The sequence below is a fragment of the Homo sapiens genome, chromosome 15 (assembly GCF_000001405.40).
Source record: "Homo sapiens chromosome 15, GRCh38.p14 Primary Assembly".
NCBI classification, from domain to species: domain Eukaryota; kingdom Metazoa; phylum Chordata; class Mammalia; order Primates; family Hominidae; genus Homo; species Homo sapiens.
The window spans coordinates 22,012,508-22,032,540 of NC_000015.10; the positions used below are offsets into that span (position 1 = coordinate 22,012,508).

Below are 20,033 nucleotides of genomic sequence, written 5' to 3' on the forward strand. Positions count from 1 at the left end.
AGCACACTTCCACTTTGAAAGACTATGGAGGAAAATGTTTATTCAGACCTTTATTATCACTTAATCATAATACTTAGAAACTCCTAAAACATAGCTTTGATCTTGTTGTCTGCTCCAAAAGCCATCAATGATTTCAAGTTCCCAAGTTCTCCACAAATTGACTTCAAATTACTTTCCTGGTGTTATCTTTCCCTACTCTCTTTTACAGATAAATTAGACAGTAGACAGCATTTCATTCTCTGAATAGGTTCAGTTTCCTATGTTCTCTTTTTTGTGATCATTTTCTGTGTTTGGAATTCTATTTATCTCCACCTACACCTGTAAAAACCCTCCTTCAAGATCCAGTTCAAAAGACATTTTTCCCCCCAGAATGTTTTCCCCTCTTCCCCTAAGCAAAGCACCTTTTCCATCCTTGCATTTTTTCTTTTTTGAGACATAGTCTCGTTCTGTCCCCAGGCTGGAATGCAGTGGTGTGATCTCAGCTCACTGCAACCTCCGCCTCCTGGGTTCAAACAATTCTCCTGCTTCAGCCTCCTGAGTAGCTGGGACTACAGGTGCGCGCCACCATGCCCAGCTAATTTTTGTATTTTTAGTGGAGACAGGGTTTCACAATGTTGGCCAGGATGGTCTCTATCTCTTGACCTTGTGATCCACTTGCCTCGGCCTCCCAAAGTGCTGGGATTACAGGTGTGAGCTACCATGCCTGGCCCCATCCTTGAATTTTTATTTTACCATCTTTGTGTCTTTGTCATGATACTAATCATAAGCTGCCCTATATCAATGTTCATCCATGATATTGGCTTGAAGTTTTTTCTTGTTGTTGTGTCTCTACCAGGTTTTGGTATCAGGATGATGCTGGCCTCATAGAATGAGTTGGACAGTTCTCAGTTTTTTGGAATCATTTCAGCAAAAATGGTACTGGCTCTTCTTTGCATATCTGGTAGAATTTGGCTGTGAATCCATCTAGTCCTGAGCTTTTTAAAATATATATATATTTTGGTTGGTAGGCTATTTATTACTGATGCAATTTTGGAGCAGGTTATTGGTGTGTCCAGGAATTTACCCATCTCTTACAGGTTTTCTAGTTTGTGTGCATAGAGGTGGTTGTAGTAGTTTCTGATGGTTATTTTTTATTTCTGTGGGGTCAGTGGTAACATGACCTTTTTCATTTCTAGTTGTGATGTTTCTTTCAAAAGATTAGAATGGTAAAAATTATATCTATTCTGATTAGGGCTTCTAGGCATTATTAAATGTTTACACCTTTAATTTACTCTGGTCAACAGTATATTTTTGGGGACTTTTTCTTAAATAATCTTGTCACTAAACCACTATACTTTATAAACAGCCTGATTAAATGAACATGCATTTGAACATTAGACTCTGGATAGACAAGATTAATTAACCTTTGACACAAGAAGCTCACAGTACAACAGGCCACTCTGATAGGACAAAAGTCCTAGGAAGTCTATGTCGGCAAAATCCCACCTAAGGGCTGAACTTTAAGCTCTATTCACTTTTAGCTAATTAAGTAAATATACTGCCATCCCATGCTGATAGTGATGAGCAGTCTCCGGGGAGTTTGACTTCTATAGGGAGGGAGGGAGGCGATGTGTTTCTGCACTTTGCTTCTTCAGTCAGACATTCTGTGACTTCTTCATTTCCTTCCGCTCCTCTTCAAGCCCTGGCATGTTGGCTCAGAAGCACAAGAGGGCAGGATAATCCTCACTGTCTCATTCACACTGACTGAAACCCTGGGCTTTGAAATACAGACTCACTCCTCCCAAGCTCTACTCTGATGCTGGGAGCAATTTAGAGCAAATGTTATCCAAAGTGACATTACCTAGATCACTAGGTTCTTTCTTTCACCCTCCTCCAATCCTGCTGTTCTTTCACTTCTAAGTCAAGGAAACTCCAAGTTTACACTTTGCAGGAGCCCCTGGAATATTTGGGGTTTCATATTGCACATCAAAACTATTTCTCACTGACCCAATCATCTATTAAAAATCTTGTTGAATTTCTGCCATTTTAATGGCTATCTGCCTTCATATGAAGTTCTTGGTATTATAATAGTCAGTGTGCTTCCAAATTAATCCCAATTCGTTTACTTTTACTTTAAGATGAAATGTAGGCAGAGCACAGTGGCTCACACCTGTAATCCCAGCACTTTGGGAGGCCAAGGCGGGTGGATCATGAGGTCAGGAGTTCAAGACCAGCCTGGCCAACATAGTGAAACCCTGTCTCTACTAAAAATAGAAAAAAAAAAAACAGCCAGGCATCGTGGCAGGCACCTGTAATCCCAGCTACTTGGGATTCTGAGGCAAGGAGAATCGTTTGAACCTGGGAGGTGGTGGAGGTTGCAATGAGCCGAAGTCGCGCCACTGCACTCCAGCCTGGGTGACAGTGCAAGACTCCGTCTCAAAAAAAAAAAAAAAAAAAGAAGAAGAAATGTAGCTTAGAAACCATTCTTCCATAAAACCAAAACCATATCTCCTTAAGAGGATGTTGGAAAATCAGCCTTTCTCATAAAGTAGTTTTCCCCACAAGTTTAAACACATTACTCCACTATAAGTTTAGAGACTATTTTAAAAAACTATTATGCTTCAGCTTTTCCTGCAGTTCTCTCTTTCTTGTCTCTTACATACTTCTCTGTGATCTGGTCCAACAATTATTGCCATGGCAACAAAGGCTCTGTGACATCTCTAGCAAGCTCATTGTCTTCTGCCTTATTAAACTTTAATGGGTAACTAGTAGACAGTAACACTCTGGGAGGGCTCAAACCACATAACCAAATGTGCCAAGATAATCCTGAGCTCACTATTGTCAGGTAAGGCAAAGTATTTTAGTGCAATAGCAAACAATTAATTAAACAAACAAAAACAAGAAACCTTTCTTGGGACAGGAAGCCATTAATTAGCTAAGCTCAGAGCCACTCATTGAAACTAGGTCCTGATTGGGTTTCTGGATTTGACCACTGGGCAGAAACTAGGACCCAAAACCAATTGGAATGAAATGGTCCGCAGATATTGTTTTCATGTAAGGATAGGTTTGGAAGTATCCAGACTTAGTGGTGGGCCAGGCCTCCCCTGCGAGCAGTACAGTTCAGGACACCTGGACTGCCCTTTCCCTCTGCCTTCCCTGGGGTAATGTGAATGGCTTAGTCTTTCGTGTTCTCAACTGTAACATGGAGGAGGAAGAGAAGAGCCTCACTGCACATATTGGGTCATTAAGAATGATCTTAGAGCCATAATTTACAATATTTTGAAGTTAGGTTTGATTTTTACCACTCCACTACTCCTCTCCCAATATGTTGTGCCAAATTGTAAGTAATTTGCAATTAGAACACATTGAAGACATATATTTGAGCTCCTTAGAGAGTCTCACCCACCTTTGTGGTAACTTTTTGTACTTCAGGTTTTCTCAAGTCAGAGTGTTGAGTCCTTAAATCAGTGTTGGGTAGTGATAAAATTTTGATACATTGGGTAGTGATAAAATTTTAATTGCCTAAGTTTAGTAAATGGGGGACAGGCTTGCTTATCAACAGTCTTTGTGGCATTTTATGCTGAAAAAGCCTTGAGGCTCAGACTCAGCCCACAGTTCTCTGCACTCCCTCCACTTCCCTTCTGTGCCTTTCATGTGTATCCTTTACAGCAATTTTTTTTTGTGAGTTCTTTTCCTTTTTGAGATCTCTCTTAAGGTTAATGGTGTACAGTAGATATCCAGAACTTATTCATCCCTTTTAGCTGAAACATTGTACCCTTTGACAAATGTCTCCCCATATCCCCTGGGCACAATTTTCAATAGGTAGTTAGGGAAAGCCTCAATGAAAAGGTTGGGATTTTGGGATGCTGATAACATTCAGTTTCTGGAACTAGGTACCTTTACACAGGAGTATCAGTTGATAACAATTCATTGAGCAATATACTTAGGATTTGTGCACTGTACTTTTTGTATGTTATAGATGAATAAAAAATTCAGAAATCTCATAAAGGTGATATTTGGATAAAGACTTGAAGGAAGTGTGGAGGCAACAAATATAAACATCTGGGGAAAGAGGGTTCCAGGCAGAGGAGATGGCATGTGTAGGTGCCACGAAGCAGGAGCACGCCTGGCATGATTGAGACGGCAGGGAGTCCTCATCTCTTCTTCACCTACGCTACATCTCTGAAATGGCCATTTCAGAAAGCATGAAATTTATTTACATGAGTTTATTTTAACAAATGCTCACTTTTGATATTTTACAAGAGTAACTACAAGTTTATTATAGAAAAATTTGAGAAAACATACATATGCATGAGAATACAACATAACCATTTAACATTTAAAATTTTTCCTTTCATCACACTTATATTCATAATGTTTGTAATTAAGTGTAAAATTTACTATACATGTTTATATTATTTATATTTATATTTTAATATTAAAAACTGATTAGTTAATTCAATAATAATAATTGATTGTGAATGTTCCAGGGACTACTCTAAATGCTCATGCACATAGCAGTGAACAAAATGTACAAAAATTCCTATGTGGAACTTATATTCCAAAGGGAGACAACAGGTGTTAAATAAATAAGTAAACTATAGTATATTAGGGAGTGATGAGGAAACGTGGAGAAAAATTAGAAACGTCAGGTCAATAGGGAGTGTGTGTGGGAGCTGGCAGAGGTGCATTTTACCCCCAGCCTTACTAAGATGTAATTGACAAAAACAGTATATAGATTCACATGAGAAGAAAAAACAATTCACAGAACTAGCATTTGACTGTTTGGTGAGACATTCTGGAGTTTAAGCTGTCATTTAAACCAGTTACGATTTTCCATAGGGAGCTACTCTGTCACTTGGGTCTTTTCCCAGTTAAGCAAGGCTACTTTCCATGGAATCATTATCCAGTATATGAGGCTCACTTGGCACTTGTTCAATATGCGCTTGCCTTATAATAGGTGATTGGATATTTTTTATTAAAAAACTATGCATTTGTGGCATACAAGATGATTTTTTGATATGTATACATGGTGAAATGATTAATTCAAACTAATTAACATTTATCACTTCTACATACTTTCATTTTATTGTGTGAGAACATTTAAAATCTCTTCTAAAAATTTCAAGTATACTTTTGGCCCTATGTTTCCATGAGTTCCACATTCAGGCATTCAACCAACTGGATAGAAACTATTAGTACAAAAAACCCACAAAAAATACAGTAAAAGCAATAAAAATAAAAAAATGCAGTATAACAACTACTTATAAAACATTTATATTTTATTAGTATTATAAGTAATCTATAGATGATTTAAAGTGTATGGAAAAATATGCGTAGGTTACATGCAAATATAAAATGATATCATTTTATATAAGGGACTTGAACATCCCAGGATTTTGGTGTCCTTGGGGAGTCCTGGAACGAATCGCCCCCCTGATATTGCAGATATTTAGGGACAATGGTATAACACATGACTGTTAACTACAGTCACTATGCTGTACAGTAGATCTCCAAAACTTATTCATTCTGTTTAGCTGAAACATTGTACCTTTTGACCAATATCTCTCAATTCCCCTGAGTGGAATTTTCAATAGCTAGTCAGGAAAGGCCTCACCGAAAAGGTGATATTTGGTCAAAGATTTGAAGGGAGTGTTAGGGAAAGAAATATAAATATCTGGGAAAAGAGCATTCCAGGCAAAGGAGATGACATGTATAGGGACCACAAGGCAGGAGCATGCCTGCCATACTTGAGAGACAGTAAGGAATCTTCATCTTTTCCTCATGTCTTTCTCACCTCCAATATATTTAAATATGGCTTCCCCCCACCACACCCTTAAAATGGCCATTGCATAAATCACCAATAACATTTGTGTTAGTCCATTTTACGTTGCTATAAAGGAATACCTGAGACTGAGTAATTTATAAAGAAAAGAGGTTTATTTGGCTCATGGTCCTGCAGTCAGTACAAGCATGGCATCAGCATCTGCTTAGCTTCTGAAGCCTAAGGAAACTTCTACTCATTGAAGAAAGCAAAGAGGGAGCAGTTGTGTCACATGGCAAGAAAGGGAGCTAGGTGGGGAGGGGGTTGTCCCATACTCTTTTTAACCATCAGATCTGATGGTAACTCTACTATGGGTAAAATGCAAACCCATTCCTGAGGGTTGGGTTGGATACCATCACCATCCCATGAGGGATTCACCTCCATAACACAGACACCTCCCACCAGGCACCCCCTCTGACACTGGGGATCACAATTCAGCCTGAGATTTGGAGGGTGCGTTGAATATAATGTGAGCTGTAGGCTTGTAATACATGGTCTTTATTATGTTGAAGTATATTTCTTCTAAACCAACTCTGTTGAGAATCTTTTCATGAAACAATGTTGAATTTTTCAAATGCTATTTCTGCATCTAATTAGATGATTATATAATTTTGGGCTTCATTTTGTTAATGTATATCACATTTATAGATGTATGTATGTTGATCCACCTTGTATCCTTGGGGTAAATCCACTTGAGCATGGTAAGTTACCTTTTTAACGTGCTGTTGAATTCAGTGTGCTAGTATTTGATTGAGGATTCTTTCATCTATGTTCATCAGGGATATTGGCCTATAATTTTTCTTTTCTTTTCTTTTCTTTTTCTTGTTCTTGTCTGGCCTTGGTGTCAGAGTAATGTTGGCCACGTAAAAAAAGTTTGGAAGTGAAGTATTCCTTCCTCTTAGATTTTTTTTGGAAGAGTTTAAGGATTGCTAATTATTTCAGTGTTTGGTAGAATACAACAGTAAAGCTATTCTGGGCTTCTCTTTGATGGGAGACTTTATTACAATTCAATCTTCTTACTCATTTTTGGTCTGTTCATACTTTTTCTTCATGATTCAGTCTTGGTATCTTGCATGTATCTTGGAATTTATTTATTTCTTATACTTTATTCAATTTGTTACTGTACAATTTTTCATAGTACTCTCTTATGAGCTTTTTTTTCTTATGAGCTTTTATATTTCTATGGTATCAGTTGTAATGTCTCCCTTTTCACTTTTGATTGTATTAATATTTGAGTCCTTTCTTTTTTTTCCTTGGTCTGGCTAAAGGTTTGTTGATTTGTTTATCCTTCTGAAAAAACACTCTTTATTACATTGAGTTCTTTTCTATTGTAGTTTTAGTCTCTATTTTGTTTATTTCTATTCAGATCCTTGTTATTTCTTTCCTTCTGCTGACTTTGGGTTTAGTTTGTTCTTTTTTTATTAGTTACTAGAGTTGTAATATCAGGTTGTTTATTTTATATTTTCCTTTTTAAATTTTTATGGGTACACAGTGACTGTATATGTTTATGGGGTACATGAGATATTTTTCTACAGGCATACGGTGTATAATAATTACATCGCGGTAAATGGGATATTCATCACTTCAAACATTTACCCTTTCTTTGTGTTACAAACAATGCAATTATGCTCTTTTAGTTATTTTTAAATGTACTATAAATTGTTTGGCTATAGTCACCTTGTTGTTCTATCAAATACTAGATCTTACTTATTCTATCTAACTGTATTTTTATGCCGATTATCCATTCCTCCCCTTAACCCTACTATTCTTCCTAGTCTCTGGTAACCATTACTGTATTCTCTATCTCCATAAATCCAGTTATTTTAAGTTTTAGCTCCCACAAATAAGTGAGAACATGGAAAATTTGTCTTTCTGTCCCTGGCTTATTTTATTTAACGTAATAACCTCCAGTTCTATCCATGTTGTTGCAAATAACAGGATCTCATTCTTTTTCATGGCTGTATATTACTCGATTGTGTACATTAACCACATTTTCTTTATTCATCTGTTCATGGACAAACAGGTTGCTTCCAATCATGACTATTGTGAATAGTGCTGCAATATGCATGGGAGTGCAGGTATCTCTCAGATATCCTGATTTCCTTTCTTTTGTGTATATACCTACCAATGGCATTGCTGGGTCATATGGTAGCTCTATTTTTGTTTTTTTTGAGAAACCTCCAAACTGTTCTCCATAGTGATTGTACTAATTTACATTCCCACCAATAGTGGGTTCCCTTTTCTCCATATCCTAGCCACTATTTCTTACTGCCTGTCTTTTGGATATAAGCCATTTTAACTAGGGTTAGATGATTCGTCTTGCAGTTTTGGTTTGCATTTCCCTGATGAGCAATGATGCTGAGCACTTTTTCACATGCCTGTTTGCCATTTATGTGTCTTCTTCTGAGCAAGATCTTTTGCCCATTTTTAAATTGGATGATCAGAATTTTCCTATAGAGTTGTTTGAGTTCCTTATATATTCTGGTTATTAATCCCTTGCCAGATGGATAGTTTACAAATATTTTCTCCTATTTTATGATTCTTTTCAACATCAATTGAAATGATCCTATGGTTTTTGTTTTTAACTTTATGTGATGAATCACATTTATTGATTTGCATATGTTGAATCATCCTAGCATTTCTAGAATAAAACTCAATCGATCATGGTGAATTAAATTTTTAATGTGCTGTTGGATTTAGTTTGTTAGTATTTTGTTGAGGATTTTTGCAGCAGTGTTCATCAGGGATATTGGTCTGTAGTTTTCTTTTGTTGATATGTCTCTTTCTGGTTTTATATCAGAGTAATACTGGCCTAATAGAATGAATTTGGATGTATTCTGTGTTCCTATATTTTTTGGAATAGTTTGAATAGTGTTGGTATTAATTCCTCTATAATATTTGGTAAAATTCAGCAGAGAAGCCACCATGTCCTGGGATTTTCTTCGCTGGGAGACTTTTTATTAGGGCTTTGATCTCATTACTTGTTATTGGTTTGTTCAGGTTTTGGATTTCTTCATGGCTCAAACCTCATAGGTTGTATGTATCTAAGAACTTATCTATTTTATCTGGATTTTCCGGTTTATTGGCATATGGTTGCAAGTGATCCTTTTAATTTCTGCAGTATTGGTTTTATGTCTTAATTTTATTTATTTGGGTCTTTTCACTTTTTCTCTTAGGTAAAGTTTTGTTGATTTTGTTCATCTTTTCAAAAAACAAACTTTTCACTTTGTTGATCTTCTGTATTGTATGCTTTGTTTCCATTTCATTTATTACTACTCTGATCTTTATTATTTATTTTCTTCTAATAATTTGGGTTTGTTTGCTTTTGCTTTTTTAGTTTTTAAAGATACATCACTAGGTTATTTGAAATTTTTCTACTTTTTTGGTGTAGGCACTTGTAGCTATAAACTTTCACTTGCCAGGTTTTGGTATCAAAGAGATGCTGGCTTCATAGAATGAGTTAGGGGGGAGTCCATTCTCCTCATTTTTGGGAATAGTTTAAGTAGAGTTGATACTAGCTCTTCTTTGTATGCATGGTAGAATTTGGCTGTGAAACCATCTGGTCTAGGACTTTTTTGGTTGGTAGATTTTTATTGCTGCTTCTATTTTGGACCTTAATATTGGTCTTTTAGGGTTTTAATTTCTCCCAGATTCAATCTTGGGAGGTTGTTTCCAGAAATTGATCAATTTCCTCTAGATTTAGTAGTTTGTGTTCATAGAGGTGTTCCTAATAGTCTTGGAGGATATTCTGTATTTATCGGATCATCTGTAATGTCACCTTTGTCATTTCTTAATGTGATTATTTGAATCTTCTCTCTCTCTTCCTCTTGCTCTCGCTCTCTCTCTGTTACTGTAGCTGGCAGCCCATCAATCTTGTTTATCCTTTTAAGGAATCAACTTTTGGTTTCATTGATTCTTGGTATTAATTTTCTGGTGTATTTCAATCAGGTCTGCTCTGGTTTTAGTTATTTTTTTTTCTGCTAGCTTTGTTTTAGCTTTTCTAGCTATTCTGTTGGATGCTAGGTCATTAATTTGAGGTATATCTAACTTTCTGCGGTAATTGTTTGGTGCTATAAACTTTTCTCTTAACACTGCTTTTGCTGCATCCCAGAGATCTTGGCATATAGTGTCTCTGTTTTCAGTTATTTCAAAGACTTTTTTGATTTCTGCCTTAATTTCATTGTTCACCCAGAAGTCATTCAGGAGCAAGTCACTTAATTTCCATGTAGTTGTGTAGTGTTGGGTGATGTTTTTAGTCTTTATTTTTATATGATATACTATTCTAAGCTGACAACAATCACAACTGTATGCTTTATTTGCCAACAACAGCCGTACACTTTATTTCTCCTCTCCCACATTTTACGATTTTGATGTCAAAATATACATCATTTTCTTATGTGTATCCATTGACTATTTTTGCTCTATGTGTTTTAATAGATTTGTCTTTTAACCATTGTACTATAGGAAAAAATTGCTTTACACATCATCATTACAGTCTTAGAATATTCTGGATATGACTTTGTATTTCTTATCCCATTGCATTTGTGTTCTCATATGTTTTATATTTTTAATTAGCAGCCTTTTAATTCAGCTCAAAGAACTTCCTTTAGTAATTCTCTTAAGACATATTTAGTGGTGATGAACTCTCATAGCTTTTGTTTGTCTGGAAAAGTTTTTGCTTTTCTCTCATTTGCCAAGGACAACTTTGCTGGGTTAAGTAGACTTGTTGGCCTTGTTTTTTCCCTTCAGCACTTTGAATACATTATCCTACTCTCTCCTGGTCTCCTGAGATTTTGTTGAGAAATCCAGTGACAGCTATTTTGATATTCCCTTCTATGTGATATGCTTCTAATTACTTGCTGTTTTCAAAATGTTTTCCTTTTCTTTAATTTTTGGTATTTGAATTATTGTACATCTTGGATAACTCCTATTTGGCTTAAACTTGTTTGGATAACTCTGCATTTGCTGTGTTTAGATGTTAGCAACTTTCTCCAGATTTGGTAGTTTTTTAGAATTTCTTCTTCAGATATGCTTTCTGGTCTCTTTTCTATTTCTTTTCTTTCTGAAAACTCCTATTAGATGAATATTAGGTCTTAATAGTTTCCCTTCATATCCAGAGTCTGTCTTTATTCTTTTTCAATCTTTTTAATTTTTTCTCTTCTGACTGAATTATTTTAAATGTTTTGTCTCTAGCTTATTGATTGTTTCCCTTCTGCTTGATTGAGCCTGTTCTTAGAGCTTTCTATTGCATTTTCATTTCAGTCATTTTATTCTTTAAGATTTCTATATTTTTATTATTCCTATTTGTCAAACATGTTATATTGTTTATTATTTTTCAATTTTTTAAATTATCTACCCTTATATTATTGTAGTTCACTAAATTTTTTTTATTATACTTTAAGTTTTAGAGTACATGTGCACAATGTGCAGGTTAGTTACATATGTGTACATGTGCCATGCTGGTGCGCTGCACCCACTAACTCGTCATCTAGCATTAGGTATATCTCCCAGTGCTGTCCCTCCCCCCTCCCCCCACCCCACGACAGTACCTAGAGTGTGATGTTCCCTTCCTGTGTCCATATGTTCTCATTGTTCAGTTCCCACCTATGAGTGAGAATATGTGCTGTTTGGTGTTTTGTTCTTGTGATAGTTTACTGAGAATGATGGTTTCCAATTTCATCCATGTCCCTACAAAGGACATGAACTCATCATTTTTTATGGCTGCATAGTATTCCATGGTGTATATGTGCCACATTTTCTTAATCCAGTCTATCATTGTTGGACATTTGGGTTGGTTCCAAGTCTTTGCTATTGTGAATAGTGCCGCAATAAACGTACTTGTGCATGTGTCTTTATAGTAACATGATTTATAGTCCTTTGGGTATATACCCAGTAATGGGATGGCTGGGTCAAATGGTATTTCTAGTTCTAGATCCCTGAGGAATCGCCACACTGACTTCCACAATGGTTGAACTAGTTTACAGTCCCACCAACAGTGTAAAAGTGTTCGTTTCTCCACATCCTCTCCAGCACCTGTTGTTTCCTGACTTTTTAATGATCGCCATTCTAACTGGTGTGAGATGATATCTCATTGTGGTTTTGATTTGCATTTCTCTGATGGCCAGTGATGGTGAGCATTTTTTCATGTGTTTTTTGGCTGCATAAATGTCTTCTTTTGAGAAGTGTCTGTTCATGTCCTTTGCCCAATTTCGATGGGGTTGTTTGTTTTTTTCTTGTAAATTTGTTTGAGTTCATTGTAGATTCTGGATATTAGCCCTTTGTCAGATGAGTAGGTTGCGAAAATTTTCTCCCATTTTGTGGGTAGCCTGTTGACTCTGATGGTAGTTTCTTTTGCTGAGCAGAAGCTCTTTAGTTTAATTAGATCCCATTTGTCAATTTTGGCTTTTGTTGCCATTGCTTTTGGTGTTTTAGACATGAAGTCCTTGCCCATGCCTATGTCCTGAATGGTAATGCCTAGGTTTTCTTCTAGGGTTTTTATGGTTTTAGGTCTAACATGTAAGTCTTTAATCCATCTTGAATTGATTTTTGTATAAGGTGTAAGGAAGGGATCCAGTTTCAGCTTTTTACATATGGCTAGCCAGTTTTCCCAGCACCATTTATTAAATAGGGAATCCTTTCCCCATTGCTTGTTTTTGTCAGGTTTGTCAAAGATCAGATAGTTGTAGATATGCGGCATTATTTCTGAGGGCTCTGTTCTGTTCCATTGATCTATATCTCTGTTTTGGTACCAGTACCATGCTGTTTTGGTTACTGTAGCCTTGTAGTATAGTTTGAAGTCAGGTAGTGTGATGCCTCCAGCTTTGTTCTTTTGGCTTAGGATCGACTTGGCGATGCGGGCTCTTCTTGGTTACATATGAACTTTAAAGTAGTTTTTTCCAATTCTGTGAAGAAAGTCATTGGTAGCTTGATGGGGATAGCATTGAATCTATAAATTACCTTGGGCAGTATGGCCATTTTCACAATATTGATTCTTCCTACCCATGAGCATGGAATGTTATTCCATTTGTTTGTATCCTCTTTATTTCATTGAGCAGTGATTTGTAGTTCTCCTTGAAGAGGTCCTTCATGTCCCTTGTAGGTGGATTCCTAGGTATTTTATTCTCTTTGAAGCAATTGTGAATGGGAGTTCACTCATGATTTGGCTCTCTGTCTGTTATTGGTGTATAAGAATGCTTGTGATTTTTGTACATTCATTTTGTTTCCTGAGACTTTGCTGAAGTTGCTTGTCAGCTTAAGGAGATTTTGGGCTGAGACAATGGGGTTTTCTAGATATACAATCATGTCGTCTGCAAGCAGGGACAATTTGACTTCCTCTTTTCCTAATTGAATACCCTTTATTTCCTTCTCCTGCCTAATTGCCCTGGCCAGAACTTCCAACACTATGTTGAATAGGAGTGGTGAGACAGGGCATCCCTGTCTTGTGCCAGTTGTCAAAGGGAATGCTTCCAGTTTTTGCCCATTCAGTATGATATTGGCTGTGGGCTTGTCATAGATAGCTCTTACTATTTTGAGATACGTCCCATCAATACCTAATTTATTGAGAGTTTTTAGCATGAAGGTTGTTGAATTTTGTCAAAGGCCTTTTCTGCATCTGTTGAGATAATCATGTGGTTTTTGTCTTTGGTTCTGTTTATATGCTGGATTACATTTATTGATTTGCGTATACTGAACCAGCCTTGCATCCCAGGGATGAAGCCCACTTGATCATGGTGGATAAGCTTTTTGATGTGCTGCTGGATTCGGTTTGCCAGTATTTTATTGAGGATTTTTGCATCAATGTTCATCAAGGATATTGGTCTAAAATTCTCTTTTTTGGTTGTGTCTCTGCCTGGCTTTGGTATCAGGATGATGCTGGCCTCATAAAATGAGTTAGGGAGGATTCCCTCTTTTTCTATTGATTGGAATAGTTTCAGTAGGAATGGTACCAGTTCCTCCTTGTACCTCTGGTAGAATTCGGCTGTGAATCCATCTGGTCCTGGACTCTTTTTGGTTGGTAAGCTATTGCTTATTGCCACAATTTCAGCTCCTGTTATTGGTCTATTCAAAGATTCAACTTCTTCCTGTTTTAGTCTTGGGAGAGTGTATGTGTCGAGGAATTTATCCATTTCTTCTAGATTTTCTAGTTTATTTGCATAGAGGTGTTTGTAGTAATCTCTGATGGTAGTTTGTATTTCTGTGGGATCGGTGGTGATATCCCCTTTATCATTTTTTATTGCGTCTATTTGATTCTTCTCTCTTTTTTTCTTTATTGGTCTTGCTAGCAGTCTATCAATTTTGTTGATCCTTTCAAAAAACCAGCTCCTGGACTTTTTAGAATTCTTTGTCAGTCATTTTGCAAATCTCCGTTCCTTTAGGGTCCATTGTTAAGAGTTTTATTAGTTTATTTTGGAGGTGTCATCATTCCTCGATTCTTCACAATCCTTTTGTTCTTGCACTGCTGTCTGTTCATTTGAGGAGGTAGCTACCTCTTTTTATAGGTATTAGTTGGCAGGGATAGACTTTCATTATTTAGTCTAGCCTTTCATTCTAGATTGGCCAACTGGTACCAACCCTGGGAAGGTAGAGCTTGCTTTCTGCTTTCAGGTTCTCCGGATGGCTCAGCTTTTGTCTTTGCTCTGAGTTCAGTTGGGACTACTGGCTGGGCTCTGATTTTTGGTATGACCACTAAATGAGCTATGCAATCAGACAAAATTGCTTGCTCGGATGGTGATTGTCTCTGACTGGGCCGGGCCACAGGATGTATTTCCTGGCTGGATGGTACCACTATTTGAGTTCTGGAGTTGTATGGGGTTGCAGGCTTACTCATAAAGTTAAGTGGGGACACTGCTCAGGATGGAGAGAACAGCTACTACACTTGGTGGGAATGCACATTTGATGTTTGCCTTCCTGACTGGGTAGGACCTTGGGGTGGGCTTTGAGATTTGAGCCAAACCACTGTTTGGATTCCTTGTTGGGGTGCATATAGCCCTTTCACTTTGCCAAAATGCACTGCGGCAAGTATCTCCATCTCTGAGTGGGCTTTGGGGATGATTTTGAGGCTGAGTTGAACCACTGTTAGAGTCCCCAGGTAAGGCATTTCTAGACCCTACACTGTGCTAATAATGGGCTGTGGTATGCATCTCCCTGCCTGGCTGGGTCCCTGTTGTGGGTTTTGAGACTAAGCCAAACCACTGTTTGGGCTTCTGAGTGGGGCAGGTCTAGCCCTTGTACTTTACCAAAATATGCTGTGGTCATCTCCCCCTCTGGACAAGGCTTTGTGGTAGGATCTGGGGCTGGCATGGAGGCTGATTGTCTAGGGATTCAAGCCAGGTAGAACTTCCTATTTCCCGGGGCAACCAGCTTGACTTTGTTGGTTTGTTATACTGTTCGCTAATGCCCCTAATCACATACCACTGCTGGTGGTTACATAGACCTACCACCAAGATCTGCATGTTTGTCACTATGAGCTTTGCCTTCCTGCTTTGTTTCTACCTGACCACAGGTAGTCTAGCCATGCTATTACCCCTATGCTCCTTGCAAGGTGAGACCAGAGTTGGCTTCCTGGGGGAGGTATCTTGGAACACAGGGAACGTGAATGTCCACCTCTAGTTCTCTTTTCCTACTGTAGAAACTGTGGGCCTAGAAAAATTCTAAGTGGTGTTGTGCTGACTTGGGAGAAAGGGAGAGGTGATGTGGTCAGAGTGAGGCTATTCTTTTTACACTTCTCATGTGGCATTTTGTTTGGTTATTTAGTTCACACAGGTTTCTCAGGCTTAATCTTGAGTTTTGAAGTGTTCACATAGGAGTTTTTGTCTGTGTACAGTTGTTAATTGAACATTCTATGAAGGGTAGGGAAAACTGGGACCTCCTATTCTTCAATCTTCCTGATGTCACAGAGAATCTGCATTTTGAAAAGATCCATACGTGATGGTGATTGATATGGATATTAAAGTTGAGAACTACTAGGTTAAACATCTGTTTTCATGTGAAACATGAAAAATAAGCTAGATTTTGAGTTGCAATTATAGGGTAATACACATTTTTCAACTTTTTCATCTTTAATCTTGTTCATAAGAGGCTGCAACTGATCCAAAAACAACTTATTCCCAGGCTATAGCAAAGGTTTTCAAACTCAAACAATGTAGAATTACAAAATGTAGAGTTCACATCTTCTCTGGCTAAGATAATGTTGACTAATGAAAATAATGGTAGATTGGAAAATCTATTTGAGTTACTATACTTTCTTGTACCTAAGATAAAATACCCATATGATGATTATTGTTAATCCTCTACAGAAACATGATGAAAAGAAGTTTTAGTTGAGCAGAGGAGATAGAAAGCAAGATCACAGGGGGTTGGGGAGTGAATATGAAATGAAGAAGTAGAGGTTGACTATACTCTTTCATGTCACTTGGCACCCTCCAAAGTAAAAGGAATTTGATGTAATCAATTTGCCACCCATTGCTGGCTGGTTTTCTCAAAGATTGGTGCCATATTGAGGGCTTAACATTGGTTTCTCATCGAGGCTGCATCTTCAGTGGCTCAGTGATTTGTCACCAACCTTGGTAAGATAATGCCTGTATTTTTTGGCACGTGCATATTTTCCATTTATACAGCTTTCTTTATATTCCCTTTTATAAGCTCTGAGGTGAATGAAATCAGAGCTGACTGACATTTTTAGATGACTCATTCTTTTCACTTAGCTATTGAGTGCCTCCACTCTGGAGGATACTCTCTAATGGGCACAGAGTTGAGAAACAAAGATCTGCATACTTTGTGCTTATTCTCATAGGCCCATACATAGGCCTCCACCTCAAATTTCATTAAATCTGATTTTTCTGTATTTTGAGGGGGTTTGCTTAGTGAAACTTTTTTACAACAATCATTATACTACACATATCCTTATCTTGCATAGCAAGCTATTTCTCCCAACATTCAAAGTGGACAACTAAGTATATTGCTACCGAATCATTGGCTTACGAGGATTTCCTCCACCACTACATTCTATGGCTACTCTGGAGAGGCGTTAAGCTGCAGCATTAGTCAGTTTTTATCTTGTCTAAGTGTAGATTCAGACAATCCATTTGTGATCCAAGCCTGAGGCTCTTTCTTCATTTATTAGCTGGTTGTGTGAAATACCATGAAGCCATAGGTATGAACTGAGGAAGAGATATTGTCACAATGAAGGCATGTTTGTATCTTATGGAAATGCTTTTTACTGTATCTAATAGTTTTCAATTCATTCTATCAAGTGCCAGCAAGCTCAATATGAGATAGAATTTAATATTGGTAAGATAAGATTGGTTAATGATCAATTTGAAGATAATTACAAATATGGGCACTGTGCACATTTATAACAGTTGAGATTATATTTTATTAAGAATTTCTATCATTTTTTCTCATATAATTAAGAAATATAAACAAAACTGGCATGGACAGGTGAAACTCAGTGTTAAATTTATCAGCACTTTAAAGAGATCCCACCGTTGAAGTCAGTTTGAATGAAGTTCTAAATTGTTTGTATTTTCTTCCTATATAAAAGAGGTTTTCAGGCAAGTATTTAGCTATTTAATTTACATTTCACATGTGAGGTATAATAAAACAACCACTCTTTTCCCCAGAACTCATATAAATCCTGCCTTTCAAACCCAGAAAATATTCTCAACTCAGCTTCCTTGTGACACAAAAACTAATTGCAGTTGCACCTCATTTTGTGGAGCAAATAGCTATGATGGCTTACAAATTAAAATTCTGTAAACTACATTTCATATTGTGATTCCTTTTCATTAAGTTTTTGAGAGTTGTATTTGAAAAAATGGCATAGAACGAAACAAAAGTCAAAATTAAAGCAAGATATTAGTCAAATATTTTATAAAATGGATTTTAAGAGTTTTATTTTAGTACTGTCCAGCAGTACTCAAATAAGTCACACAGTATTAATACTAAATTAGTTATGGTATCAAATCCTGTGTTTAAACTGGGTTTACAACAAAGAAAGCTATATCCTGAGTAATGCTCACCTTTTTGTTTAGGTCTTTGCTGCACTATATTCCAGGTAACGAATCTGCTTTAAATTCCTAATTCTTGGTTGTGTACTCTCTGAAAAAACACTGAATATCAAACTAAGGCTATTAGTCTATTTATATAATGTAAAGACCACTTGCTACATTTTGACAAGCTGGACTACTTAAAACTTGGCTCTTTTTCAGCCAGTATCTCTTAGTGGATAATGATTGGATTATAGTGTTAATTGTGAGAGCAGTCTATGATATCTGTCACATGTGTTACCAATTGCTTTAGCTCAGTAATACAAAAAGGACGTCTGCATTCTTTTTAAAAAGTTGGGTTACATATACACGTTCTGATTAGCATAGACATAGAATTTTACATACGTATTATTCACTTCAACAGAAAATCTAATTCACTGTTGAAACATTCTTAAATAAGACCACAGTAATGCAGATTGTGGTGAGTGGTGTTTAAGATGTTAATGGCTCATTATTATAGCAGTTCTTAAATAAAACAATAAATTTGTAGACAAATATTCATGTATAATAAAGTTACATTTGATAAATGAAAATTCTCTTATTTATATTTTATTAACATCTTTTCCAGTCCTGAAGATTTTCCTCAGATAATCTTTCATCTCTTTGTTCCTGAGACTATATATTAGAGGATTACAGAGTGGTGTTATCACAGAAAAGAACAAGGTAATGATTTTTTCATTTTTACTGGGTGTGCTGATCCAGGACTAACATACATCACCATGATAGAGCCATAAAATAAGGTGACAACTGCCAAATGAGAGGCACAAGTGGAGAAAGCTTTTCGTTTGCCAGCCTCTGAAGGCATCCGTATTATAGCCAGAATCACCAGAGCATAGGAACAAAGGATAAAGAGAAAGGTGCCAATTATGAAGACAGAATTGAATGTGGAGTAAATGAGCTGGGTGATGATGATGTCTTCAGAACAGGACAGCATCTTCAATGGGACGGGATCACAAATAAAATGGTTGATAATATTTGGGCCACAGTAGGATAGCTGTGAAATGAGAATCACCAGAGTTAGGAAGATTACAAAGACACATGACCATGCAAAAATGATGAGGCCAGTGCATACTTGTTTAGTCATGATGCATGGATAACGTAGAGGGCGGCAGATGGCAAGATACCTGTCAAAGGCCGTGATGCAAAGGAAGAAGCCCTCATCATACCCCAAAGAGAAGAAGTAGAACTGTGCAAAACAACTCATGAATGAGATGGACTTGCTTGTGGAGAGGAAGTTGGCCAGCAGTTTAGTTGCAGTAACATAACATATTTCCAGGAGAGAGAAATTTCCCAAGAGGGTGTACATGGGAGTGTGAAGGTGCTGGTCCTACCACACAGCACAGACAATGGCTGCATTTCCCATCGGGGTGAGAGTATAGGCTACTGAGAAGAGACCGAAGTAGAGGAGCTGCATTTCTGGGCTTGAGGGAAAGCCCATGAGGATAAGGCAGCTAACAAAATTGATAGTTTCCATGCTGAACACATTCATTAGTCTGGAAGACATGGAGATGGCAGAGGTAACTGAAACATGAAAGGGAGTGTGCTGTTTCTTCTTGGAAACAACCAAAATTCTTCATCATGTATATTATAAAGTAGTAAACAATTAGACTTTTGTTTAAACAACAAAACTGTGACTTTCATGACTCAATTCCTACACATGTTTATTTTAATAAATCACAACAATAGAAGGGAAAATATGAATTGTGGAGAGTTTTTTTTCTTGCTAAGAACACTAGACTTGAAACCAGGAATGCAAATTTTGTGATTCCAATAAATTACCTATATACAATGGGTCTACTCTTTCTTCTGTTTACCTGCATTATTGATACTGTATTTATCTGGGTATGTAGTTCTTTCAACAGTACTATGAATACCTGATTCATTATTATTAGTGGTATAAAAATAAAATACAAAACCAAGATATTTAAAAATACTCTTTCTCAATATAGTGCCATGCCAGGGCACAAATTAATATTTACTTTCAATTTCAGCTACTCCCGGTTACTTGTAGTGTTTTAAAGTGGTAATAAGAAAGAACTCTGTCATTAGAGAATATATGGTCTTTTATGCTGTTTCATGTATCTGTACCAATGTTTAGCATAAAAAATACATTCTTTCATTTTTAGGCAGCTGGATACGCTATATGCTGTGAGGAAGCGTGCCATACTTTGGCTCTTAAATTG

At 36.9% G+C, this 20,033-nt stretch overlaps 1 long non-coding RNA gene and 1 pseudogene across 2 annotated transcripts in view; one reads left to right on the forward strand and one right to left on the reverse strand.

Moving 5' to 3' along the window:
- The window catches only part of OR4M2-OT1 (OR4M2 overlapping transcript 1), a 105,539-nt gene that overhangs the window by 22,428 nt on the left and 63,078 nt on the right, over window positions 1-20,033 (forward strand). Inside the window, exons 1-2 of one of the 2 annotated variants that reach the window (NR_110481.2) lie at window positions 2,754-2,824; window positions 18,419-18,513. This is a non-coding gene — a long non-coding RNA (OR4M2 overlapping transcript 1). Of the gene's footprint in view, window positions 1-2,753; window positions 2,825-18,418; window positions 18,514-20,033 lie in introns of those variants that run through there. The other variant, NR_110480.2, reaches the window with a different exon arrangement.
- On the reverse strand, window positions 18,395-19,323 carry OR11K1P (olfactory receptor family 11 subfamily K member 1 pseudogene; annotated as a pseudogene).